At 57.9% G+C, this 26,391-nt stretch overlaps 1 protein-coding gene, 2 long non-coding RNA genes and 1 other non-coding gene across 17 annotated transcripts in view, besides 3 other annotated features; 2 read left to right on the top strand and 2 right to left on the bottom strand.

Moving 5' to 3' along the window:
• The window catches only part of LOC124902298 (uncharacterized), a 27,764-nt gene extending 23,596 nt beyond the window's left edge, over positions 1 to 4,168 (bottom strand). Inside the window, exon 1 of the long non-coding RNA XR_007061835.1 lies at positions 3,663 to 4,168. This is a non-coding gene — a long non-coding RNA (uncharacterized LOC124902298). The remainder of the gene's footprint in view (positions 1 to 3,662) is intronic.
• Positions 977 to 1,136: an enhancer, noted in NCBI's record as "active region_29272". NCBI's record gives its function as "activates an Ori minimal core promoter by ATAC-STARR-seq in GM12878 lymphoblastoid cells {active_cell/tissue: GM12878}" and the evidence as "EXISTENCE:reporter gene assay evidence [ECO:0000049][PMID:35858748]".
• A 6,899-nt stretch (positions 4,169 to 11,067) lies between the features above and the next one.
• LOC124902297 (uncharacterized) lies at positions 11,068 to 18,655 on the top strand. Its single transcript, XR_007061834.1, has 2 exons — positions 11,068 to 11,332; positions 14,331 to 18,655. It is a non-coding gene; the product is annotated as an uncharacterized LOC124902297 (long non-coding RNA).
• On the top strand, positions 18,529 to 18,654 carry RNU6ATAC (RNA, U6atac small nuclear). Its single transcript, NR_023344.2, has one exon. It is a non-coding gene; the product is annotated as an RNA, U6atac small nuclear (small nuclear RNA).
• Positions 18,547 to 19,512: an enhancer, noted in NCBI's record as "H3K27ac-H3K4me1 hESC enhancer chr9:137028703-137029668 (GRCh37/hg19 assembly coordinates)". NCBI's record gives its function as "activates a minimal SCP1, AML or CMV promoter by ChIP-STARR-seq in primed H9 embryonic stem cells {active_cell/tissue: H9 hESC(primed)}" and the evidence as "EXISTENCE:reporter gene assay evidence [ECO:0000049][PMID:30033119]".
• Positions 18,893 to 19,132: an enhancer, noted in NCBI's record as "active region_29271". NCBI's record gives its function as "activates an Ori minimal core promoter by ATAC-STARR-seq in GM12878 lymphoblastoid cells {active_cell/tissue: GM12878}" and the evidence as "EXISTENCE:reporter gene assay evidence [ECO:0000049][PMID:35858748]".
• The window catches only part of WDR5 (WD repeat domain 5), a 24,770-nt gene continuing 21,503 nt past the window's right edge, over positions 23,125 to 26,391 (bottom strand). For all 14 annotated transcript variants that reach the window (NM_001384414.1, NM_001384413.1, NM_001384410.1 and 11 more), the window contains one exon: positions 23,125 to 25,200. In NM_001384414.1, the coding sequence (NP_001371343.1) occupies positions 25,100 to 25,200 (101 nt within the window). In that variant the 3' untranslated portion in view covers positions 23,125 to 25,099. The remainder of the gene's footprint in view (positions 25,201 to 26,391) is intronic.

Here is a 26,391-nt window from a genome sequence, read left to right as displayed (position 1 = left end):
ACACACCACACACACCACACCTCACCATACACACCACACACACACCTCACCATACACACCACACACACCACACCTCACCATACACACCACACACATGCCATACATACACCACACACACCACACCTCATCATACACACCACACACACCACACACCACATGCAGCACACAAACACCACACACACCACATGCAGCACACATCGCACCACACATACCACACATGCCACACACACGCACCACACACACATACACCACACAAACACCACATATGCCACACACACCACATGCACACCACACACACCACGCCACACACATCACAATACACCAAACACTAAACACACCACACATGCCACACACACACACCACACACACTACACACCACACACAATACATACCACAGACACACCACACACCACATACCACACACACCAGCACATCACACATACACCACACACACTGACACCACACACAGCACACCACACCACAGGCACGTCATACACACACACCACACACATCACACACCACACATAGCACACCACAGCACACACACCACACCACATACACTACACACATGCCACACACACCACACATACACCACACACAGCACACCACACACCACACACCACACACCACACACCACACACCACACAGCACATGGGGAAAATAGCAGCAAAAATTTACTACAAAATATTGACAGGGGTAGTCCAATTGATTTTCTTTTTTTACTTTTCTATACCTCTAAGTCCCTTTGTCTTTTCTTTTCTCTTTTTTTTTAAAGACAGAGTCTCACTGTCACTCTGCCACCCAGGCTGGAGTGCAGTGGCACAATCACAGCTCACTGCAGCCTCGACCTCCCAGGCTCAAGTCATCCCTCCTGCCTCAGCCTCCAGAGTACCCGGGGCCACAGGCGTGCACCACCACACCCGGCTCCTTTTTTTTTCTCTCTCAGTAGAGATGGGGTTTCATCCTGTTGCCCAGGGTGGTCTCAAATTCCTGGGCTCAAGGGATTTGCCCACCCCAGCCTCCGAAAGTGCTGAGATTACAGGCATGAGCCACCACGCCTGGCCTATTCTTCTATACTTTGAATAACGAATCTGTTTCACTTTCCTGATGACAATAAAACACTAAACATTACTGCTTTTCAACAACTCCTTGCAGAGCTGGGAAGGGGGCTGTGGTCTGGTGCCTGGGAGTCCTGTCTGCAAACCCCACGGCAGTTTCCTGAATGAGTGACTCCACCCCTGGCCGCAGCTCTCACCTAGAACCATGGTGGCGACACCTGACCCCACCCACTGCCTCAGAGGGCAAAATTGGAGCGTGGCTGTGACCGGGCCATCCCAGGCCGGTGCCCTGTCACCGTCTCAGTTCCAGGCAGTGGCCTTTGAAATCAAGGCCACCCTGTGTCACCTGATGATCTGCTATTCAACCTTCAGGTCCTGGCACAGGGATCCCACATCCTGCACACCTCTCCAGCTGGGCCCAGCTGCAGCAGGACCCGTGGGCAGGTGGCAGCTGGTGCGTATGCCATGCCCACCTCACAGGTGAAGACAGGCCACCTCCAGGAGGCCCCTGAAAGCAACAGGATGTCCACCCTCAGCGCTGCCTGGGCGTGTGTGCCCAGTGACCCCCAAACTCTGTGGGTCCTGCAGGCGGCACAGTGGGGAGTGCACACTGCTAAGTCCCTGCCACTCCGGGGGACCTGCCACTCTGGGGGACCTGCCCTCCTACACGGTCCAGGGGCAGAGGGAGGCCACCTCACCCCCTCTCCCTGCTCTCTCTGATGGGGGACTCTGTCTCCATCTCTCCTTGGTTCCTCTCCTTCTCCCGTCCTCCCAATCCCAGTCCCCACGCTCCCGTGGGCTGCTGCCCTGAGCCAGGCCCTGCTGCAGCCCTGCAATTCCACCATGGAATAGCAAGCCGTCGAGGAGGCTGCATGCCAGGAGGAGACCGGGGCAGAGAGACAGCTGTGCACATGGGAACCCGTCCCCACTGTGAAGAACAGGGGGCCAATGGGACACAGGGATGCTGAGGCGGCCAGGGAAGGCCTTGCAGGTGTGGAGAGAGAAGTGAGGGCGGGAGTGGGTGTGTGATGCCCTTAGCATGGCCCAGGCTGAAGAGGGCAGGGGCCATCACGGACTGGAGCCAGCTCGGCCATCCAGGGAGGAGCCAGGAGGCAGTGGAGGCCCAAGGGATGGCGGGCAGCCCCACAGGGCCTCAGAAGCCAGGCAGGATCCGGGGTTTGGTGAGCCCTGGCTGGCTGGGGCAGAGGAGCTCCAGGCTCTGACCTGGGCTGGCTGCCTGGTGGATAGGAGACCAGGAAGAGACCCTGGCATGTGGGTGCATGCTGGGGAAGAAGATGGATCCTGGGCCTGCAGGGAGGAGGCAGCAGGGATTCCTCATGGATGCGGGCAGATGTGAGCGAAAGGAAGCCAGCAAGGATCCGGGATTCGGGGCCTGAGCACCTTGGACGGAGCAGGGGAGCTGGCCTGGGCAGTGGGCAAGGGGCCCTCGGACTTGGGCACTGGACACATTGAATTGCAGACACCCTGGTGGAAAAAACAGGGCAGCCCAGCGGGGACGGAGAAGGGATGGTGGAGGGGGGTGCCCAGAGACCTCCAGAGGGAAGGAAAGGTAAAAGGAGGAGGCCACGCTCAGGAGGAGACGCACCCTCATGCGGAGGTCACAGGATCCCCAGGGGAGGGGGAGCCGGGCTGGAGTGGAGGAGATCTGTGGGTGAATGGGGAGGGAGTGGGGGCTGCGAGGGCATCGTGCCCCGCTGAGGTTTCTCTGTGAGATGAGCCAGGGAATGGCAGGACGGCCAGAGGGGCGCGGGGTGGAATGGGAGCTCACCGCACAGGGATGCAGTGAAAGGAGGCAGCTCCCAAGAGGGACAGCCACAGAGAGGACACCGCGGGGGTGAGGCTCATCCGGCCCTGGGGGTTTTGGGTTGTGAGGTGAGAGGGTGTGAGAGGTGCTGGAAGTTGGGGTGTCGATGGGTGTGGGGTTAAGGTGGGATTGCAGACATCAGAGGCCTGGAGTGTGAGGGTCAGGGGACTTGCTTGGTACTGGGGGGAGTGAGGGGCCAAAGGCGACAATGATCGAGTGCACGAGGGAGCCATCGGCTGAGGGAGAGGACAAGGCCAGCATAGGAAGGACCACCCGCAAGTACCACGGAGGAAGACAGGCTTGGCGGGGCCGCTTCCTTGAGGCTGAGATGGGGAGCTGTCTGCACAAGGAGGCGTCTCTGGGCTCCCAAAGAGCCCCCTCCACCAGCTTCGTCCTGTTCCTAGGCTCATCCTCCAAGGACTGGTTCATTCCCACCCCAGGGCCTTTGCACGTGCTGGCCCCAGCATCTGGAATTCCCCTTCTCCAGATCTCCGTGTCACCAGCTCCTTCTTGTCCTTCAGATCAAAGCTGAGCCTCACCTCTTTGAAAAAGACTTCCCAGAACTCCTGGCTGACACCTGCTAGGCTGCTTCCTGAGCTCTGCAGTTTCCTAACCTGTTCACATGCTCGCCCCCAGACTCCTCCTTCTAGAAGCCATGCCCATCCATGCCACCTCTTCCCAGTGTGGGACATCCGGACAGCCCCTCCTGAGGGCTTCCTGGCCTCCCTAGAAACCTGAAATGCGCTCTCAGCTCAGACAAAACCGTCCGCGGCACGCACCTGGTCCCTCCAGGAGCCCACACCCGCGGATCACCTCATCTGGTCTTCTCCAGCGCCCACGGTGTGTGCTGGTGTCATTCAAACTGTGCACACAGGGCCTTGTCTGCTCCTAGCCTGGCCCCTCCAGAGAGGTGGGCTCACCCGAGTTTGCAGGGGAGGAAACAGGAAGCAGGGGAGAGAGCTCAACACTCAGCAGCACTGGCCCCGGGTGCTCAGTCCACACCGCAGCCTGAATGATGGGTCCCTTGGGCTCACACTGGACAAGAGCCTGGAAAGACAGAGGAACACGGGGACTAGAATCCCAAGGTTGCAGGGCCAAGCACAGAGGATGCTAGCTCCCAGCTGAGCAGAGGCAACAGCAGGGGTTACTCCAGGCTAAATAAATAGGAGACCCGGGCAGGAAGAAATGAGAGCACGCGGGTATCCGTCAGCCAGCGAGGGCGCCCTGCAGGGAGCCGGGCAGCCACACGGACTGGCAGTGGCAGAGGGCTGCGGGCCTGTTTGCTAACGAGAAGGGCCGACGGCAGGATCTTCCGGGCCAAGGCACTGTGTGTGTGGACAGCTGTGACCTGGCCGCCAGCCCCCTCCATTCCCGTCTTCACCACGGACCCCATGCAGAGAGGAGGGCCTGGCTGGGAGACACTGGGGGTGCATGTGCCTCTCTAAGGAGACGTTGCTTCATCTGAAATGAGGCCAGTGGCACCAAACTGAAAGGGGCATTGGGAGGGTCAGTGTCCAGGCAGTTGCCCCACCTGGCAGGGCCCTCGGCTGTGGCTGGCTGGGCCATTTCAGCCTCCCCAGAGGCCAGGCACACCGCCGGCCCATGGAGATGCCCTGGCACAGAAGTGTGCTTTGCCCCTACCCACCGGTGGGCAGAGCACACTCACACGGCAACCCCCATGCCTGGTGGGCATCCATGCCATGCCCGGGCACGCCTCCTCTCTCACCTTCACTCCTGTCGCCCCCACTTGGAGCCCTCTCCTTCTCCCCTGACATCCCTCAGCTGTGAATTTGAAGCCCCTTGGTGCCACCTTTGCCATGAGGCCCCCTGCTTGTGCCCTCTGGATGGCACGGTAGGCCTGGCCAGCGCAGGAGTGGGGCCTCAGCAGTGGGTGCCGCCTCAGGGCCCTGCAAAAGGTGGGGCGACCACATCCAGCTCAGGCACCCGGTGGGGACAGCACAGCCAGCCCAGCAGGCTGGAGAAGACGGGGCAGCGGCAGAGACCCTGAAGCAGGAAGAACTGGGGGTGCTCGAGGGGTGGAAAGGACGGGTGAGGGCCCGAGGGGTGCAGCTGGGGTTGGCGTGGATGGCAGGTGCCGTGTCACCTGTGCGTTTCATCGGGGCTGACAGAAGGTGCATTGGAAGCACTAAAAAGCCCAGTTTCTTGGGTCCACGAGGCCCTGGAATCACGTGCTCCACATGTCACAGTGCAGACCTCCATCCGGGGCTAAAGATCCCAGCCCCTGTCCATCCCCAGCAAGAATCTCCCCATTCCCCACACACGGGAGGGACAGGCTGCCCAGCAGGGGCTAAAACCCCGGTCCTGGGTCCTGGGAGGGGCGGCTTCACCTCGGGTGGCAAAGGAGGAGGGTCTGGGCTGGCACAGGAGAGGGGTTGACAAAAGTCACGGTGCCATTACTACACCTCACTGCCCAGCCCGACAGGCTTCACTGCATCCCCATTCTACAGATGTGGAAACTGAAGCGTGGAGAGCGTCGTGGGCTGACCGTGGCCCCCGGAGCCTGTGGCTGGAACCTTCTTTAGAAAGGGGGTCTTCCCACATGTGGCTAAGTTACTGGGGAGAAGACTGTCAGGATTGTCCAGGTGACCCTTAATCCAATGACAACTGTCCTTAGGAGACATACAGAAGGGAGACACAGGGGGAGGAGGAGAGACACGGGGAGGAGGAGAGACACGGGGGAGAGGAGGGACACGGGGGGAAGAGGAGAGACACGGGGAGGAGGAGGGACACGGGGGGAAGAGGAGAGACACGGGGAGGAGGAGGGACACGGGGGGAAGAGGAGGGACACGGGGAGGAGGAAAGACATGGGGGGAGAGGAGAGACACGGGGGGAAGAGGAGAGACACAGCGGGAGAGGAGGGACACGGAGAGGAGGAGAGACATGATGGGGGAAAGGAGAGACACGGGGGAGGAGGAGGGACACGGGGGGAAGAGGAGAGACACGGGGGGAAGAGGAGAGACACGGGGGAGGAGGAGAGACACGGGGGGAAGAGGAGAGACACGGGGGAGAGGAGGGACACAGGGAGGAGGAGAGACACGGGGGGAAGAGGAGAGACAGGGGGAGAGGAGGGACATGGGGGGAGGGACACGGGGGGAGAGACATGGGAGGAGAGACACAGGGGGAGGAGGAGAGACGGGGAGAGACATGGGGGAGGAGAGACATGGGGGGAGGAGGAGAGACGGGGAGAGACATGGGGGAGGAGAGACATGGGGGGAGGAGGAGAGACGGGGGGAGAGACATGGGGGAGGAGGAAAGACACGGTGGGGAGAGGAGAGACATGGAGGGGAAGGAGAGACATGGGGGAGGAGGAGAGACATGGGAGGAGAGACACGGGGGGAGGAGGAGAGACACAGGAGGGAGAGGAGACACCGGGCAGAGGAGAGACATAGGCAGTAGTGGAGCGACATGGGGGAAGTGGAGGCTTGTGTGAAGATAGAGGTAGAGATGGGAACCATGTGGCCACAAGCTAGGGAACCCCTGGAGCCTCTAGAAGCTGGAAGCAGCAGGCAGAACCCTCCCCTGGAGCCTCTGAGGGGGCCAAGCCCTGAGACACCCCGATTCTTCAGCCCCCAGCACTAGGAGAGAATCATTCTCTGTTGTCGGAAGCCTCCCAGCATGTGCTCATTCGTCACAGCAGCCGCTGGACACCCACAGAGAGAGCTGTCCTTGCTTCCCAGGGACCAAGCGGGACCCAGCCTTAGTTAGCGGGACCTCCGTGTCTGTGTCCCCGACACCGCTGTGTGCCGACCACACTGGATTCAGAGCTCCATGGGGCAGCGCCAGGGCCCTTCCTGCCTTTATTTAGGGTTCGCACTGCACCCCCAGCGTCTAGCCCGAGGCCAGCTGACAGGAGGTGCTTGGTCACCCTGCACTTCTGGAGCATATGCAGGGGTCCCCTCTGCGGCCAGCAACCGCGTGCGGCGCCTGCAGGGAGCGGCGGCCATGAGCAGCCCCAGCTCAGCAGGACCAGAAATAGCAGAGGCTGCCAGGGCCACGGGGCAAGGCCAGGGTCCCTGGGTCAGGGTCCAGGCGCTCTGGGCAGTGTCCTCACTGTTCCCCGGGACGTTGGGGCCAGGGCCTGTGGCCTGAAAGATGACACCCAACCCGACCCTCCCATGATCTTGGGCAAAGTGCTTCCCCTGCCTCCAGGTGGGAGCCGGGACAGAGCTGCCCCCAAGTGGACGCAGCGCCCCTCACAGCAGGAGGGACCAACAGAAGCCCCCACCAGTGACCGCCACACCTCCCTCACCAAGGACAGCTCTGGGAGCACCTCCTGCTCTGTCACCCACTGCGCTGGGTCCTTCAGCCCACCCTGGGCCCCCCCAGCCCCTCAGAACCCGGCACCGTGACAGACCCCGTGTGGGCAGGGGCATCGAGCGTGCACCTCCAGACCCACGCCCCCAGATTTCCAACACAGCGACACTTCCTGCCCCTCTCCAAAGCAGCATCTCCCACAGTGGGGGCCATCAGGGGATGGGGGCAGCTGGGAGGGGCGAGCTGTTTGTAGAGGATCTGGGCTGGCCACCTCCCCAGGGCAAGGCCCAGACAGAGCACCCTCCAGACGGCAGCACCCGGGGGCCCGGGGCAAGACGGATGGGCTGGGTGAGGGCTGCTGGGTGCCTGGAGCGCGTATGTCCCCACCGGGGCAGGCCAGCCCCGCACTCCACCCGGGCAACCACAGGGACTCCCTGGGCCACCGCCTCCATGCTGCCCACCTCTGCCCAAACCACCTCTCAGGGAAGGGAGGAAGCTGGGTCCTGTGGAATCTGACCCCATCACCTTCCTCCTCCCTGGCTCCGCCCCCGCCTGGGCCCCGCCCCCGCCTGGGCCCCGCCCCCGCCTAGCTGTCCTTGGGGAGCGGCTGCTCTTCCCAGCCTCAGGGCCTTTGCAGAGCTGTCTCTTCTTACCAGAGCCCTCTCCTTCCCCTCTTCCCTGGCAAACTCCAACTCGTCCTCCACGCTGTTTCCTCAGGAACGAGCTCTGCCCACCCCTAAATGAGTTTCCCCAGCTCCCAGAACCTGAATGGCTCAAATCCAGAAATCATCTGCTTAGAGCTGGTTCTTCCACCCAACCAGCCCGAAGCTCCAACAGGGCCAGGCCACGTGCCTGTTGGGGACCTCTTCTCACCAGGCCTAGCGCAGGGCAGGACACCCCCGCAGCAACAAGGCCTGCCTCCCGTAAGGATCCCGCCCTACTCAGACCTCTCAGACCAGCAAGCCTGAGCCCCCGCCTGCAGGGCCCCAACAGCTGCCAATGGTCAAGGGTCTCCCTGCGCCAGGTGCTGGCATCCCCCAACAGCCCTACCAAGCAGGCACAGCTTCTCCTGCCATTTACAGAGGAGAAAACAGGGGCAGAGAAGGGAAAGGGTGGCCCTGGGGTCCCCGGCATCTGGACAGCCTGACTGCAGCCCCTCACAGCAGCCCAGCGCCACATCTGACCCCCAGGGACCATCCACTCCTGCCTGGGATGGACCCTGCAGGCAGAGGAGAGACATGAGTTCGCCTCCCACTCCCATCAGCTCACGTCCTGCCCCCAGCTCTCTAAAGGGCAGCGCTTTTCAAAATGTGTGTCTGCGGAGCCCTAGACCAGGGGTGGAGGGTTATGGGTGCCGCTCTGTGGTGGCGGAAGTTTGGGAAGCACTGGGTGGGCAAGGGGCTGCAGATTTCTTCCATGCAGGACTTCTCAGAGTTTTTAGCCACTGTGCATGTGGGCCCCCAGGGAGAGCTGCGAGCAGAATTTCCCAAACATCTGCAGCAATGGGGATGAGGGAGCTGTGGCTCCCAGCAGACATCAGTCACCACTCCGCTTCTCTGATAGACGGCAGGGGCTAGCCTGGGCTCTGCAGTTACACAGAGCTGCCTGCAAATTCCTTCTCTCTTCCCTACTAGCTGGAGGTCCTCTCTGAACTTCTGCTTTCTCCGCAGTCCCAAAGAGGAAGCAATGCGCAGCCCCCAGGGGCCAGACATCATGCACGTGGGCACCTGGTTCCAGCCCATGCGCAGCAAGCACTCAGAGGGCAGGGGTCTTGACTGGCAGGCCCGAGAGAGGGCAAAGCTGGCACCACTCGTGCCTCCACGTGCTCTGTCTGGCTGCATTTTTTAAACTAACTTATCTCCACCCTCACCGAGCTCTGGTGCCCCAGGGAAGCTTCTGTAAGTGCTTCAGCCTCCCCAGGGCTCCCCAGCCCCAGAGTACACGGCGTGGTACATGGGGGTGCAGGGCGTGGGAGGCAGGCAAGGGGCGCAGGAGGCAGGCGAGGGGCGCAGGAGGCAGGCGAGGGGCGTGGAGGCAGCGGGTATGATTCAAAACGGGCTATTCGGGTCCTCTCATGGGTGCCGGGAATGCTGGGCTCTTCCTCTGGCCGGAGGGTCTCGGGGCTCCAACTACAGGGACCAGCACCCACCCCTGAGTTAAATCCCTGCAGCCTCTGGGATGGTCCAAATGCCGAGGCAGGGGAGGGCACCCACCAAAGCGACCCCAGGCCCACGGGACTCGGCCCAGTCTGTCGGCCCGGGGCGTTTACCGCAGGGAGAACAGGCAGCCTCTCCCCGCCAGTGTGCGCTAGGGCCTTGCGGGGCCAAGTCTCCGAGGTGGTCTCTCCTGGGGCACTGAAATGTCACCTGGAGGGACCCCCGAGGCTGGCCCACACTTTGGTGCTGTGACATCTTTTGGGCCAGTCCCAAGAAGATTCTACCTCCTACTCCAGCCCCAACCCCGCAGCCTCACCAGCAGCCCTCCCGGGGCCTCTGCCTGGGCCAGATCCCTGCCTGGAGTGCCTTCTTCCTTGGCACAGCGGTGACCGCGCAGGCCCCGGCCTCCCTCCCGAAGGCCCCGGCCCCACTCGGCCTGTCAGACCAGAAAAGCCCCTCCTGGTGGCACCACCCGTCCCTGAAGCCTGGCCTCTCTTTCTGCTTAGAACCCACACTCAAGGTTGCCGCAAAGTTCTCGTAAGTAGGGGCTGCCGCGGTGTGTGTGGAGTTATCCCAAAGTCATTCCGCACTCCCTGTGTGGCGTAGGGCCGGCAAGTGGCCTCTCTGTGCCCTGGGTTTCTCACCTGTCCGTCCGGGCAACAGCAGTGGCCACCTCTTGCCAGCCGTGCTGTCCTTAGAATGACTTGTTAAAATCGCCTGCCTCCCCTCCTGGGGTACCGAGGACCTCAGCCCCAGAGAACTGCACGGGGGTCTGTGAGTGGCTAAACTAAGACACACGAGCTGGGCTCACTGGCCTGTACCACATCCTCCTGTCTCTGCAGCACAGGCCGGGCTTCTGATGGTGGAGAGGACTTGTCCTCTTGCCTGTCCCCAGCCCACACCCACTAACACCCATGGAAACAACCGAACGCGAGCGAACTACAGCAAGAGCCCTCTTGCGGGCTGCCTCTGGGGTCTAGAGGCAGAGCCGGATCATGTGCAGCCTGAGAAGTTTCCAGAACAGCTGTGAGCCAGCTCCTGGAGGGTCGATGGCCTATGTCTGAGTCCCTCCTGGTCCCATAGGCCTGAGGCTCCGTCCCTCCTTCTTTCAGGCCCTCAGGACGCTCGCAGGGAGCCAGTCCAGGGAGATTTATGTCCCTGAGGAAGGGGAGCCCCAGCACTTGGTCCATGCAGGGCTTCCGGCCCATCGGAGCCTCGGGGTCCAGGGCAGAACCGGAATGCTCAGGAGGCCAGCACTGGGTCAGGCAAGAAGCGTCTCCGGCCAAACGCCAACCCTGGGAACGTTCCATCCCCTCCTCCCTCCCGTACGTCCGGGGTCAGCAGTCACTTTATTAATAGAGGCCCCTGAGCCCTGAGAAGAGGTCTTCTCCCCCTAGACAGTCATCACCCTCTCTGCAGAAGCAGGGAACGGCAGCCCCTTGAGCAGGCTTGACTGGGAGGCCATGGGGGCATCCCTGCAGAGTCGGAGAAATCCAGGGAGTCCTGGGCCTGCCAGGCAGGGCGGTTACCACTCTGCCCAGAGGTCACCACAGGCACTGTGAAGGGAAATGTTTTTTCTCCTTCCTAAGACACCATCTACTTCAAGGCCAATATCCATTTCATAATAGTGCTGGGGGCGGGGGGGTGGGGCGGCAAAAAGAAACCACAGTAACTGTGTACTTCGGGCAAAGTGCCTGGTCCTCAGGAACCCAGGACGTGACGGGGAAGGCATCTGCATGCAGGGAAACATCCCATTGTAAACCCTCGGGGCCTTCGATACACAGCACTGAAAGGGCCTTATCTGGACCCTCCTGCTCCCCCTGCACATCACTGACAGAGTCTTCCAGTCCCAGGAAACCTTGGAACACACAAAAAGGCACGCTGCGTCCTTCCCTCACCCTTGCAGGGCCTCCCTGAGCTGCTCCACACTCTGGACCCAATGGGAAACAGAAAACCCACAGGAATGCCAACGACTCTCCTCCGTAGAAACGCCAGTGGTGCCCGTCACGTGCTGATTGGTAAGATTAGAGCTCTTTTTAGTTTTTATTGTACTCTTTCTCCCTGTCGTTTAGTTTGTTGTTTGTTTTTAGAAATGGGGTCTCACTCTGTCGCCCAGGCTGGAGTGCAGTGGCATAACCACAGCTCACTGCAGCCTCGACCTCCCAAGTTCAAGCAATCCTCCCACCTCAGCCTCCTGAGTAGCTGGGGCCACAGGTGCGTGCCACCACGCCTGGGTAAATTTTAAAAATTTTTTACAGATGGGGTCTTGCTATGTTGCCCTGGCTGGTCTTGAACTCCTGGGCTCAAGTGATCCTCTAGTCTCAGCCTCCGGAGTAGCTGAAACTACAGGCATGAGCCACCGCGCCCGGCTCAGTGTTGCTTTAAATGTCTCTATAGTGAGCAGGTATTCTATGTATCACACAGAAAACATGACCTTCTGAAAAAAACAATGCCAGAGAGAGTCCAGACTGCAACTGGAACTGTTGCGTGCTGGGCACATACCAAGAACCCCACAAATCTAGGCATCTCCCAGCATCTCCTGGGGCCCCGCTGCCAGCTGCACCTGAGGGTGTCACCTCGGATGTCCAGCGGACACTCCAGCCTCAGTTTCTCCATGGGGTAAACAGGACAGTCAGGGCTGGCTGCCACCGAGCCCTCACCATAAGCTCAACCCCAGGGCGGGCACTCTGCAGATCAGTCCCTTCAAGGGGAAAGACACTGAGGCACAGAACAGTTAGGGGCCTTGCCCAAGCCCAGAGAAGCCAGGCGGAGAGGGCTGTGGTGAGAGCCGGGAGCCCCAGCCAGGATGCGGGTTGGTGGCTCCAGCTCCACCCTGAGCGGTGCGGCCCCGCCCCCTGGTGGACACTGCTGGAACTGCCCAGCCCTGCACCCTAAAAGACACAGGTACCCTGTGTTCCATGCCTGTTGGGTGTCCCACCCCAAGAGGGGCGACTGACTGGGGCAGACACCCAAGCTCCCGAGCCCAGCAGCCTGACACTGGAATACTGTTCCCAAAGTGACCAAAGCAGCCAGGCTGTGTGGCTCAAGCCTGTAATCCCAGCACTTTGGGAGGCTGAGGCAGATGGATTGCCTGAGGTCTGGAGTTCTAGACCACCCTGGGTAACATGGTGAAACCCTATCTCTACTAACATACAAAAAGTAGCCAGGAGCGGTGGTGGGCGCCTGTAATCCCAGCTACTCGGGAGACTGAGGCAGGAGAATTGTTTGAACTCAGGAGGCAGAGGTCGCAATCAGTCGAGATGGCGCCACTGCACTCCAGCCTGAGCAACAGAGACGCTGTCTCAAAAAAAAAAAAAAAGTGATGGAAGCGGAGGCAGGGGTAGGAGGAACACCCCACCCTGGGGCCAGCCCACCACCCAGGCCAAGGCCAGCAGGACGGGGGCTGGCAGGCAGGGACACCCACCAGCCAGGGGCAGTTCCAAAGGACCAGCCCATTCGAAAAGCTGCTGGTCAGCGTGGTGGCCATTAGGAGTGGCCTTGAAGCTCACCCGCTGGGCCCCAGTGGTTACTCGAAGACTTGTGACGGCCCCAGGAGGGTCCTGGGTCACCGAGGCCTTCCGTTCTGAAAGGGAATGAGTCCTTGGGGCCTCTCGCTATTCCTGGGAATGTCGCCCTGGCTCTGACACTTCCCCTGGCTCCCAGCGGAGAGCCTCCCGGGAACCTAGGAAGGCCTCTGGGACCAGCCAGCAGGTGGGTGGAGGTGCGTGCGTGAGAGGTGGGCAGGGCAGGGGTCAGGCCACCCCATTCCTGCCTCACCCCACCCCAGGCAGCCCACAGATGCTGCCAGTAAGATGTGTCTCCAGGAGACATTCCCTGTAAAGACTGAACTCTGATCCCGCCACATCACTAACTCCGCAGGATGGTGCTGGCGGCCGGGAGGAGCGCTTCTCACTGCACTCACTCCACCCTCGCTTCGTCCTTCCTTCCTTGTGGGTGCCCAGAGCTTGGAGTTTCGAAAGAGCGGGCAGCCTCGGCCCACCACATGGCCAGGTTTCTGGGGAGGGAGAATGGCCACCTGTGGGGGCCCAAACTGTCCTCAGCCTTCTATCCTGCTGAGTACTGACTCACCAACACTTCCCCAGATCTGGAGCAGAAATGTCATCAGCATTCTGGAAAATACAGTCTCCCTAAAGCCATGTGAGCCTGCAAATAAGAGTACAGGGCCGAGCGTGGTGGCTCATGCCTGTAATCCCAGTACTTTGGGAGGTAGAAGCAGGAGGATTGCTTGAACCTGGGAGGCAGAGGTTGCAGCGAGCCGAGATCACACCACTGCACTCCAGCCTGGGTGAGAGCGAGACTCTGTCTCAAAAAAAAAAAGAGTACAGTAGTCCCTGCTTATCTGAGTTTCTGCTTTCTGCAATTTCAGGTACCCACGGTCAATAGTGGCCGGAAACTAGGTGAGCATGGAACACTAGGATATTGTGAAAGAGAGATCACACACACTAACTTTATTACAGCAGTATATTGTGGCAATCGTTCTGTTTATCATTAGTAATTACTGTTAATCTCTTACTGTGCCTAGCTTTATCATAGGTATGTATGTATAGGAAAAAAAAACAGTACTGTATTTCTACAGTTCGGTACAATCCACAGTTTCAGGCCTCCACAGGGGGTCTTGGAAGGTATCCCTGCATCCGGATGAGCGGGGAGTACTTTTCTGTAATCAGAGCCCAAGCAGCTTTCTGCTCTGAATAATCTGGATCACTGCCTGAAGTCATCCATTTAGTGCATATTTGTTGAGTGCTTTCCGGGGCCATACCCATGTGGACATGGATAAGGCTGAATTTGCAGAGCCGGTCTCCAAGCTCTTTGCCTGCAAATCAAGTGGCTGCCACTGGGAGGTGCCCAGAGTGAACTCTGACTGGTCTGGGTTAGGCCAAAGAGCTAAAGCCACTCAGCCTTCCTCCTGCTCTGTCTTCAGCCCTCCTCTTCCCTGCTGTTTTCTTCCCTTCCCAGGCCCCTCTTTTCTCCTACCTGCACTGTTTTCCTTTACAGAACATAGAACACAGCCAGGAGCGGTGCCTCACGCCTATAATCCCAGCACTCTGGGAGGCCAAGGTGGGCGGATCACTCGAGGTCAGGAGTTCGAGACCAACCTGGCCAACATGGTGAAATCCTGTCTCTAGAAAAAACACAAAAAAGTAGCTGGGCATGGTGGCACATGCCTGTAATCCCAGCTACTCTGGAGGCTGAGGCATGAGAATTGCTTGAACCTGGGAGGCAGAGGTTGCAGCGAGCCGAGATCGCACCACTGCACTCCACCCTCAGCAACAGAGCGAGACACCGTCTCAAAAAAAAAAAAAAAAAAAAAAAAAAACACAGAACGCAACCTCACCAGCCTAGAGATCCCATTAGCCAAGACAGTTGAGTAAATGACACATCCCCCAGGCCTCATTTTCATAAGCCCTCCTGCCAACTAATAGGCTTTTTTCTTTTCTTTTCTTTTCTTTTTTTTTGAGACGGAGTCTCACTCTGTTGCCCAGGCTGGAGTGCAGCGGCGTGATCTCAGCTCACTGCAACCTCCCGCCTGGGTTCAAGCAATTCTCCTGCCTCAGCCTCCCAAGTAGCTGGGATTACAGGCACCCGACACCACACCCAGCTAATTTTTTTATTTTTAGTAGAGATGGGGTTTCAACACATTGGCCAGGATAGTCTCAAACTCCTGACCTTGTGAGCCGCCCTTCTTGGCCTCCCAAAGTGCTGGGATTACAGGTGTGAGCCACCACGCCCGGCTAGGCTTTTCTTTAAAGAAAAAAAAAAAGGAATTGTGCAAGTTTATTTAACACAGTATTTCCCAGTTTTCTTCCCTTCTGTCCATGGGACATTTCAAGAGACAACTGGTCACTGAAGCCAATGCCAGGAAATGCTGCTTGAGGGCAAATAACAAAAGCCTTCCAGCTCCCGTTACTAGGGCTGCCAAATTTAGCAAATAAAAATACAGGGCACTCCACTACATTTGAAGCTCAGATAAACAATGAATAAGTTTTAGTATAAGTGTGTCCCATGAAATATTTGGGATATGCTTACAGTAAAACATGACTCATTTGTCTGAGATTCCATCTCAATGGGGCATCTTGTATTCTATGCAGCAGCCCTGCCTGCCTCGACACTTGAGGGGAAAAGCACGCATGGTCCAGGGCTCTGCCAGGGCTGGAAGGGAACCCATGCCCACCCTGCCCATGTCCAGCACTGAGAGCTGGGGGCCGGGTCCCTACCCCACCACTCTAGCAATAACTCATGGGGTGGGCTGGGTATGTTGGCTCATGCCTGTGATCCCAGCACTTTGGGAGACTGAGGCAGGTGGATCACTTGAGGTCAGGAGTTCAAGACCAGCCTGGCCAACATGGTGAAGCCCCATCTCTAGTAAAAATACAAAATTAGCCGGGTGTGGTGGTGTGCGCCTGTAATCCCATCTACTCAGGAGGCTAAGGCCAGAGAATCGCTTGAATCCGGAAGACGGAGGTTGCAGTGAGCCAAGGTGGCACTACTGCACTCCAGTCTGGGAGACAGAGCGGGATCTGGGAGGGCATCCTCTATGCCATGTCTGACTGTAGATCCCCAGGTGGTGACAGGCCCTAACTCCATGAGACGTTCATTTTCCACTATTCGGGATAAGCGTTCAAATTCCTCATGGTTGGAGGAATTCTCCATCTTTGAGACTCCATCTCAAAAAAAAATTGTGTGGTGCCCTTGAGCAAGTTCCTCCCCTCCCTCAGTGTCCGTGTGCAAAAAATGGGAGGGTCAGTAGGCGATCTCATCTTTTCTTATTTCTGGAACTTTCTCTGGATGTAGCCTGATTTCATACAGGAGACTCTAAGAACGGCCCTCAGAAAGTGAGACTTAGGATCCAGTGAGTTATATCCCTGGAGACTCGAGTGGAGTGCAAAGTGTACTCCCCGATGGTGACCACTCTGATTGCCCCGTCCACCTTTCTGCCCCAGGCGCCAGGCACATGGAGCCAGGCCGACTCTTCCTGTGGTCTAGAGACATTTGTGGGCCCCAGAGGGACTTCCAGCGGTTGACATGAGCCATGTGCCCGAATCGGGGCTGAGGGCATGAGTCTCAGGGCAATACCAACACTGATCATGCCTTTGTTCAACAAACACTTTGGGACGCCCTGTGTGCAAGCGCTGGGCTCATCTTGGGATGCAGCAGTCAGCAGGAGACGCAGCGTCTGTCAGAGCCGGAGTTCCAGAGGCACCAGCAGACACAGGGCAAAGCCACCTCCATCCGTGCATCGCAGGCTGTTTCCACGGGTTCTGCGCCAAGTCCGAGAGGGTGCTGTGGCCTCCCAGGTCCTTCCATCCTTGCCCTCCCAACCCTGCAAAGACCCTCTTGCCATCTTCCCTCTTCTTGGGTTACCACTGGTAAGCCTCCTGGGTGATGTGCAGACCTCCGACCTCCACCCAAAGTAAAGACAGGCTGCTATGATGGCGGGACCCAAAGGGCCTCAATGAATACAGATTCCCAGGCCTGACCACAGACCCTGGACTCAGACTAGGGAAGAGGCAAGAATCTGCATTTTAGCAAACCCCGTCCTCGTTGACAACACAGGCAGGTGGGCAGTGCACAGAATGCCGGCTGGGCAGATGCTTGGGCCCCCTGGATCACGCAGATCCCCAAAGCCACCAGTCCTTCACAGTCTGGGCCCCAGGGTGACACCAGGCCTCCCATTGCTGAAGATCACCAGGCAAGCACACCACTCTCAGCCCCCAAGGTCCTGGCTCTGACCTCCAGGCTGCTGCTCCCCACCCCACACCTTGACCGTCATTGCAGGGTGAGCAGTGCCTTCCTCATGCATTTGGTTTCCTATCTGTAATCCAGAGCTTGCCCTGAACCTTCTGGAGAAGACCTGACTCAGGGTGCGGCTGGCCTTCCGCAGCAGTGCCCGGCCCAGCCTGCCAGGTCTCCAGGGAGAGGAAATTAAGGAAACTTAAGGACCTGCCTTAACCTACAAATTCACTTTTGTTTTTTCTAATTAATATGCACAACTGGAAACACACACAACTCAAAAGCTCTGAGAAATGAGTATGGCCATTCCCAGCCCACAGCACACGGCCACCAGGAGTGAGCCACTGAGGACCTCTGTGCTTGTTTGTGCACACATCCATGTGGGCAGGCACATGTGTCTGCATGTGTATACACATATTCACGTGTGTAAACGCGTGTCCACCATCCATGCGTGCACTTGCACGTGTGACTCGTGTGCAGACATGTGCGCGTGTAGACATGGGCGTGTGTACACATGCGTATGTACATACGTGTAAGGACGTGTGTGCACCCATGTATGGACACGTGCATGAATGTGCAGAGGTGTTGAGGGCGCATGTGCATCGCGCGCACAGCGATCATCCTCACCAGGCCGGGTGGTGCCCCAGGCTGTGCAGACCCTCGGGCTCCTTGTCAGGAAGGCCGCGCGTCCCCGGTCCCCGAGCCTCGCAGAGCCCTGCCCATCGAGTCGATGGGAGGGGCCCGGCCTGCGAGGCGCCAGAACAGCCCCGGGGTCCACGGAACGGAGGACGAGAGCAGGACGGGACCGCGCCAAGGCGCCAATACTGACGTTGTAACCTGGAGCCGGAGGACACGCGAGGACGCCAGAGCCGAAACCGGTTCCAGGGCACTCGGCCGTTCTAAGGCTCGAACTCGCCACCCAAGACCACGCAGAGCTTGCGAAAACGGGGCTGAGCCGGCGCGGCGCATGCGCGGGCGGCGTCCCGCGCACCACAGGGTCCTGAACACCCGCAGTTCCCGGGGCAGGGCCGCGTCCGGAAGTCCGTGGAACGGATCTTCCGATCCTTGTTCTCTGATTCGTTACCAACCTTCCACTTCCGTAGACAGTTCTTCCCGCCTTCCGCCGTCTGCTAGGCGTGTCGCCGCAGGAGGTGCGCGCCCGCCCTGTTTTGTTTCCGGGGGAATCTACTTCTCTGAAGGACGCTCGGGACTTCCGTTTGTTCCCCTCAGCTTCTAATTGGCTACTTTTATGAATATATTAGGGCACGAAAAGTGGTAGATTTTTTTCTTACACGTTCAAATTTTAAAAAAGACGATTAATTGAATGCGAACATTTGTGGTTTCCCACTGAACCGTGACATTTTTATAAATGTACCTCCATGGATAGCGAACAAGAAGTCACCCTCACCGAAAGGCGAGTGGAGCTTTCGTCCTTAAATAAAGTGCGCAGGGAAGCCGAGGCGTGTTGTATGAAAGGAGAGAAGGTTAGCACTCCCCTTGACAAGGATGGAAGAGGCCCTCGGGCCTGACAACACGCATACGGTTAAGGCATTGCCACCTACTTCGTGGCATCTAACCATCGTTTTTTTTTTTTTGGTGTTTTGTTTTTTATTTTTCTTCAGACGGAGTCTTATTCTGTCGCCCAGACTGGAGTGCAATGGCGCGATCTCGGCTCACTACAACCTGCACCCCCTGGATTCAAGCGATTTTCCTGCCTCAGCCTCCCGAGTAGCTGGGATTACAGGCGCGCGCCACCACGCCCGACTAATTTTTTTGTAATTTTAGTAGAGACGAGGTTTCGCTATGTTGGCCAGGCTGGTCTTGAACTCCTGACCTCAGGTGATCCGCCCGCTTCGGCCTCCCAAAGTGCGGGGATTACAGGCGTGAGTCACCGCAAAGCCCCGGGGCATTTTTCGTTTTATCTTTTATCTTCTTTCCTTGGGACACGGGCGCGGGTCGCACTTGTGCACGGGCGCGCCGTTCCGCCGCTGCTTGGGGCTTTTCCGTTCATCTTCACCGCCCGTTCTTGGCATTGGGTCGTGTTCGCGTCTCGACACCCGACAGGGCCCGTCTCCCGAGGGCGCCTCGGTCGCCGCATGAGGCACAGGGCGGCTCGGCGGGTTGACGGGCGCGTCCCTAGCATCGCAAACGTTCAGGGCCTGGTTCAAAGCCTGACGGAAGTTTCCGCTCAACATTGATTCATTCACAGAAAACTAAGCACTGGGCACGGCCCGGAGATACGGCAGCTACCGAGCGAAGCCGCTGCCCGGCCGGAGCGCATTCCCGGCCATTCCACAGCCTCCGCCCCGAGCCCCGTGGAGACCCGCTCCAGCGAGCAGGGCGGACGGGGAGGTCCACACCCAAGTCCAGATCCAAGGCGGCGCGAGGACCTCGGAGCCCTGAGACGCAGGGAGGGCCCCGCAAGGTCCCGGGGCTGGAGGGGAGCCAGGGGCCAGGAGAGGGATCAGGGGACGACCCGTTTGGCCCGGGGCCCCAGGGACCTGTGCAAGGACCTGAGCTTCGACCCTCGGCAAGGGCGAGACCTTGGAGAACCTCCCGCAGGGGAGGGACGGGACCGAATGAGCTCAAAGGACATCCCTGGCGGCCACGCTGAGAACAGCCCAGCGGGCAAGGATGGCAGCGGGAAGACCTTCGCGGCTGCGGCGGGGCGAGGCCGGAGGCCGGGTGCGGGCACCATGGAGGGGCTGAGAGCCCTGGGTTCTGGAGAAGATGTGCCAACAGCCGTGGAGGGCAGGGTCAGGGGTAACTGCAGGGTGTCAGTCCCCCTCCGGGGAAGGACGCGGTGCCACCTGCTGAAACAGCCAAGGCTGCGGGAGGCGCAGGCCCCGGGAGCTGGAGGGCCCGGCACTGAGGCCTGGGATGTGGAAAATAGGCAGGCCAAGTGCGCGCCGCTCCAGGGCTCAGGACTGCGCAGTCAGCACACCAGCCACGTTAAAGCCACAGCCTGGCTGCATCCCTTAGGAGAGAGTGGGCCGATCCAGGTGAGGGCTCAGCCTGGAGGCTGGAAACCGCAGCCCAGCTCGCCCCCTGCACCCCGACAATGAAGCTACCAAGCGGCCTTCATCTGTTAGAGCCCCTCCCCTCGGGGTCACCCCATATTCTGGTATTTCCCTCCCCAAAAGACCTTATGGGAACCCTCCCTCCTGCTCACCAAGCTTTTGACAGAAGAGTCGACTATCAGGAAAAACAGAGAGACCTTGAAATAGGCATAAGGAAAAAACCCTTTGCTCAACCTAAGGAGTCTAAGCAGCCATCCAGGTCCTCTCCACCTTTGCTCTTTGCTGTTCATTGTTCACAGCTCGAAATCGTAGGAAGCTCAATGTGCCTGCCCAGTGGGATGTGATTATTACTGTGGATTTTGACCTTTTGCCAGTTTGAATCTATTTGCAATTTGTCTTAGCATTCGTTTCCCTGCGTAAGTGTGGTACTTTCAAGCGGTTGTAACATCTTACAGGTCCCCTCATTAGTTGAGTTACATAAAATCTTTGCCAAGTGGATCTCACCTTTAACAGTACCTGCACCCCCTGCTCCACCACACCTGTCGGGCTTGGTGGTGAGGGTCAGGGTCTCCCCCAAGGGCATGAAATGCCATCTCAGCCCACAGCCCAGGAGCGGGCATCACTCTACTGGGATTCAGCATCCTCTGCCCTTCCTCTGGGTAACCATACCTGATTCTCCTCTTCACTGAGTCTTTCTTTTCTCCTATTTCTCAGAACTCATCCTTGACCCTAAGGTAGCTCCTTGCTGGGACGGTGAATCCACACTGCCAACACCTTACCCCACCGCAGTGTTTTGAGAGCTTCCTTCATGGGCTGAAGAGCAGGATGTGCCAGGATGTGCCACACAGCTTGTTTTCCTAAATGACACAGATAGACCCCACCTGTGCATGGTTTCCCATAGATGGAAACCACCAGAAAGGCACCCCAGAGAGTGAGAATGGCAAGCGTGATGAGAGCATTCGCCTGGCCTGTGTGTCCCCGTGCATCACGTCTGTCATAGGCACAAACTCCTGTATGTTTTTTAACATAGGACTCAAGTAAGGACTGGAAAGATGTTTATCAAATAAAACCAATCTGCTAATGAGTCAGCTGTTTGAACACGCACACAGCACCACCCACCGTGGTGGGTGCATGGAGCATGGCCGGCTGCCTCCCCCACTGCCAGGTTACAGGGAACACAGGAGACAGGAAGATGCTGAACAGCCCCACGGAGACGCACTCAGCAAAACCAGACCAGGAGGCCACAAGATAAACGACCTGGTTTCAACGATACATGGCACAGAAAAAAGAGGGAGGACCTGGCGATTTAAAAAGACTCGAGGGACCGGGCTCAGTGGCTCACGCCTGTAATCCCAGAACTTTGGGAGGCCAAGGCAGGCGGAGCACTTGAGATCAAGAGTTCGAGACCAGCCTGGCAGCATGGTGAAACCCCATCTCTGCTAAAAATACAAAAATTAGATGGGCGTGGTGGGTGGGGGTCTGTAGTCCCAGCTACTCAGGAGGCTGAGGCAGGAGAATCACCTGAACCTGGGAGGCAGAGGTTGCAGTGAGCTGAGGTCGTGCCACTACACTCCAGCCTGGGCAAGAACAAGACGTCTCCAAAAAAAAAAAAAAAAACAGCTAGTAAACTAACCAGATGCAGGTGAAGACCTTGTCTGGTTCCTGATTCCATACACAAGCATACATGTGTATGCATGCATTTGTGCATGTGCACACACATACCCTATGCACACATACCTTGCAGGTACATCTACATACACATACACATACACATGCTGTGGTTTGCTGCACAAATGTACTTGTGTGCACCCATGTACAGGTGTGCACTACATGCATATATATGTGTACACATGCATGTGACGTGTGTATGTGTGTGTATGTGTGTGTATGTGTGCACAGGCACAATTTTTTAAAACATACTAAGACAACGGGAAATCTGAACATCAGATATTCAATTAAATAACTTTAGGGGGGCTGGGTACAATGGCTCACGCCTGCAGTCCCAGCACTTTGGGAGGCAGAAGTGGATCACTGGAGGCCAGGAGTTTGAGACACGCCTAGGCACCACAGTGAGACCCTGTCTCTGCAATAAAAATATTCAAAAATTCGCTGGCCTGCCTGGCCAACATGGCAAAACCCCAACTCTACTAAAAATACACAAAATAGCCGGGCCTGTAATCCCAGCTACTCGGGAGGCTAGGCCCAAGAATCGCTTGAACCGGGATGTGGGGATTGCAGTGAGCTGAGATGGCACCACTGCACTCCAGCCTGGGTGACAGAGTTAAACCCTGTCTCAAAAATAAAAGAATTAGACAGGCATGATATCATGTGCCTGTGGTCCCAGCTACTTGGGAGGCTGAGGTGGGAGGATCACTCGTGTCCAAGAGGTTGAGGCTGCAGTAAGTCATGATCACACCACTGTATTCCAGCCTGGGCAACAGAGCAAGACCCTATCTCAAAAAAAAAAAAAAAAAAAAAAAAAGGCAGGGGGTTGGAGAACTTTTTTGGTATGAAAATGGCATTGTGGTAATAATGCTTCTGGAGACTTGTTTTGAGATACCATGCGTTCACCACTTACATGGTAGAATGTCTGGGATTTGTACTGAAATAACAGGAGGAGCCGATGAACAACGATGAAGTTCCTGCAGCAGGGACAGGAAACTGGGGGGCGCCACACTCTTCACATCTGAAAGCTCCTGTTAGTTTATAACGCATATCCTGGAAGATACGCCCCAGCATGGTGGTGGCAGCAGGACTTTGGAGGACCTCTCCTCATCCGTGCCTACCTGCCTAACACTGTCAGTAATTAGCACACAGGTATATACCTAAGAGTGGAAAAACCAATACAAAATACATAGAATAATTAGCACAAATAGATGACTTTCCTAAGGTTACTGTAAAAACCCAGGACTGTCCTGCGGGGCACCCTGGCTCACCAGACACCACCCCCACCACCGGGGACAAAGCCCCAGGGCGGCCGCCCTCCCACCCCACAGAGACAGCTACGTTTTAAGTTAAGAAATTCTCACCAGACTAAATTAGAAGACATGAAAATTTTTATTTTCAAAAAGAATGTATTTTTACATAAATCTACAACAGAATTCAAATGTAGAAAAAATAAACTATATTCAGGGATACAGCGCTCAGCACAGCACACCCCCTCCCCGGAGTGGGCCGTCCCCCCAGAACAAGACTGAAGGGGCCTCGCCGGCCCCAGGACCCCCACAGCAGGGCAGCCACAGGCTGGCACGCGGAGCTCCCCGTGTCTGTCACAACAGACTGCAAATGCGAGGCGCCCAGACCCTGAGCGTCGAAGACAAAAACCAACCCATTTTCACTGTGGCAACTCACTTCTTAGTGCAGGTCACTCATCCGTACACCTCATCGGAAACAGAGGGGCAGGGGAAACCACAGGATATACATCTCCAGATGCCTCAGATAATCCCCTCCTCACCCCTGCCACTCGAGGACCTCCAGGAGAGCCCACCTGACAAACCCCCCGCTTCCTCCCTGGGCCGGTGCAACCAAAAACCTGCAGGATTCATCCAGGACTCCAGGCCCTGAGAAAGGCAGAGCTGGCTGAGCTCCCCCAGGACTCCAGGCCCTGAGAGAGGCAGAGCTGGCTGGGCTCCGGGGCCAGGGCCCTCTGTAGACCCAGGACCCAAGCTGGCTTCCCAGAGCATCACAGCCCCAAAGCCCTGCCCCGTGGGACAGACCCAGGCACCTGTGCCCTCAGCCACCCTGCTCCGCCCTCACTGTGTGTGGCAACCCTCACCACAACTGTCTCCATGGGCAGGTTCAGGTTTCAGCCTCGCTCCCCAGAGGCTCCCGCTCGGCCTCTGCTGTTAACTGCTGTGCAGGTGAGCACCGGGAAGCCACACTGCCAGGAGCACAGGCAGAGGGGCAGGCAGGCGAGGGCTCCAGCAGGGACGGCGAGGCTCGCGCTTAGCACCCAACCCCTCGAGGAGTCCGAGGGGCAGCACTGGCCCTGCAGCCCTCATAGGGCGCATGAGTCCCACTGGCATCTGACCTGGAGTAAGGGACTCAGGGAGCCTTACCATGCCACAGGTGTCCCCCACATCCCAACGCAAGTCCATCAGGAGCTTGGCTCCTTCGCAACTAAGAACCTCCCCACCCCCGTTCCCCGCCCCCAGCAACACTGAACAATGAACCTAGAGAGGAAGGCGTCTTCAGAGAGCAGGTGCAGCCAGCCTCAGCACCTCCTGTCCAAAGAAACCTTCCACCCTCTTGCCCCAGGGGAGCCTTTCTCCAAGAAAGCCACATGGAGACGAGCTTCACAAGGACGCACTTGCCACAACCATTCACAAAACCCCACCTTTTATTACAGTCTGCGGTGCTGCTTGTTGCAGGGACACTGAGACAAACGGGAGAGTCATGTGCGATGACCGTGCTATCGGCATGTGGGCCACAAACTCCCAAGACACAAACGGCTCTTTACACAGAAAACAACCACTCAATGCTGTTTTCCAGAAAGACGAAAATACACTAGGAACAGCTACTGGCGGGAATGGAGGAGTCAGGGCCCTGGGCCAGGGCATCTACGCAGCAGAGAATGGGGGCGGCCGGCGTGGGCCAAAGGGGAGGCCAGCTGGCGGGGCCACGGTGGCGGTGACAGGCCACAGCGTGCACTGGGTCATGGAATATCAAAAAGATACAGAACGTTTACTGAAAAAACACAACGCATGTTAAATTGAACTTCACCCTTCTGTAATAAAAAATTAAAAACTTTTGTTGACTCTGTTTGAACACAATAGACTAGGAACTCTTCCCTAGACAGTGTTAGAATTGGCAAGAAATGTCACCAGCAACTTTTAAGAACTTTCCGGTGGTCCACACCTTCCGCTCGGCCAAATCATCTTCAGAGAGGAGGCTCAAATCAGGCCCTGTCCTGACCCCCAGGCGCAGATCTGGGGGACCACCTCCAAGACACCCTGTTTCTTGCCAATCCGGGTCAACTTCCCGACAGTCTCTCGCGGGCAGGAGCAAAGGGACTTAGCAGTCACTCTTCCACAGTTTAATTGTTTTGTCATTTTCTAGCGCAGCAGAGGCGATGATGTTTTCTGTTGGGTGACAAGCTGTTGAGATCACGACATCTGAAAACAAAGACACAGTCAGAACCAGAGCCATCCCTGCGCCTGGGTCGGGGACGCCATCCCAGACTGAGCTCCACCTTTCTCCAGAAACGCGGGTAGCGCCTGCCCGCCACCTGGGAGGTCACAGGACAAGCACCCACTGCCCACCTTCGACACAGGGAGCCCAGGGGAGGGGAGCGAGGGGACAGCAGCCGGTACCAGGGCGACACAGCCGGTTGGGGGACAGGGGCAGGAGGCCACAGGGAGTGCCAGCCCTGCCTGCAGACCAGGAGCCCCACACGCCCCCACCAACAGCAGCTCGGCGCCCACAAGGAGGAGCGCGGCAGCAGGACTGGCTCAGAGGCTGGCGCGCACAAGGACTGCAGTCAGACCCCTCACAGTCCTCAGTCCTTTATCGACAATGTCCCTCTTCTCCTCGGACCCTGAGCCGCCCACTCCCACCGCCTCCCCCCAATGCTAAGCCCCAGAGCACCCCACAGGGCTGGCTCTGTCACAGCAAGGACAAGTCCACCACCCAAGCAGGGAGGTCAGAACTAACAGACTGGTGGTGCAAGGTCGGCCACATCAAAGTGTTTACAGCTTCTACGTAAACCAAAGAACCCCAGAACGCCGGCGAGGACCCAGGGGAAGGCCCAGGCCCGCCGTGGAGCGTAAGCACTGACCCCAGGCTGGGTGAAGCTGCTCACAGGGAGGGAGAAGCAGTGCCTCCCCAGATTTCCACAAGGGCTCGAACCCCCTGCTCTCGTTGGCTCCATGAGACGTGGAAATGCAGGGCCAGAGGGTGAGGAAGTAGCGGCGGCTGCAGAGGGCAGCCGGGACCCACAGAGGTGGCAACCCCAGGTAGCCTGGGAACCAGCTCCGCCGTGGAGCCCACTAGGCCTGCATGCAGCTGGGGGGTCTCTCTGGGAGAGGGAACAGGTACCCGAAAGGAGCCAGAGCCTCCAGGATGGGGCAGCGATGACCTCACTGTCCCCAGCCCAGGAAACAGAGCTCGCCGTGACGTGGGACGGGCTGCACCCACCTAAAGTCCCACAGCCACACACACCTTCCGGACCAGCATGCCTGGCAGAACAGGGAGAAACAGGGTTCAAGCCAGGAGCCCGGGTCTGAGTCGGCAGCACAGTGACCAGCTCCATGCCTTGGGCAAGAGCTCTTAGCAGCGGTTCCTCAGCGGGGCCAGCGGAGGGCTGA

The sequence above is a fragment of the Homo sapiens genome, chromosome 9 (genome assembly GCF_000001405.40).
Source record: "Homo sapiens chromosome 9, GRCh38.p14 Primary Assembly".
Classification (NCBI taxonomy): Eukaryota; Metazoa; Chordata; class Mammalia; order Primates; family Hominidae; genus Homo; species Homo sapiens.
Note: the sequence above shows the minus strand (reverse complement) of the source record. Positions and strands in the feature narration are given on the sequence as shown.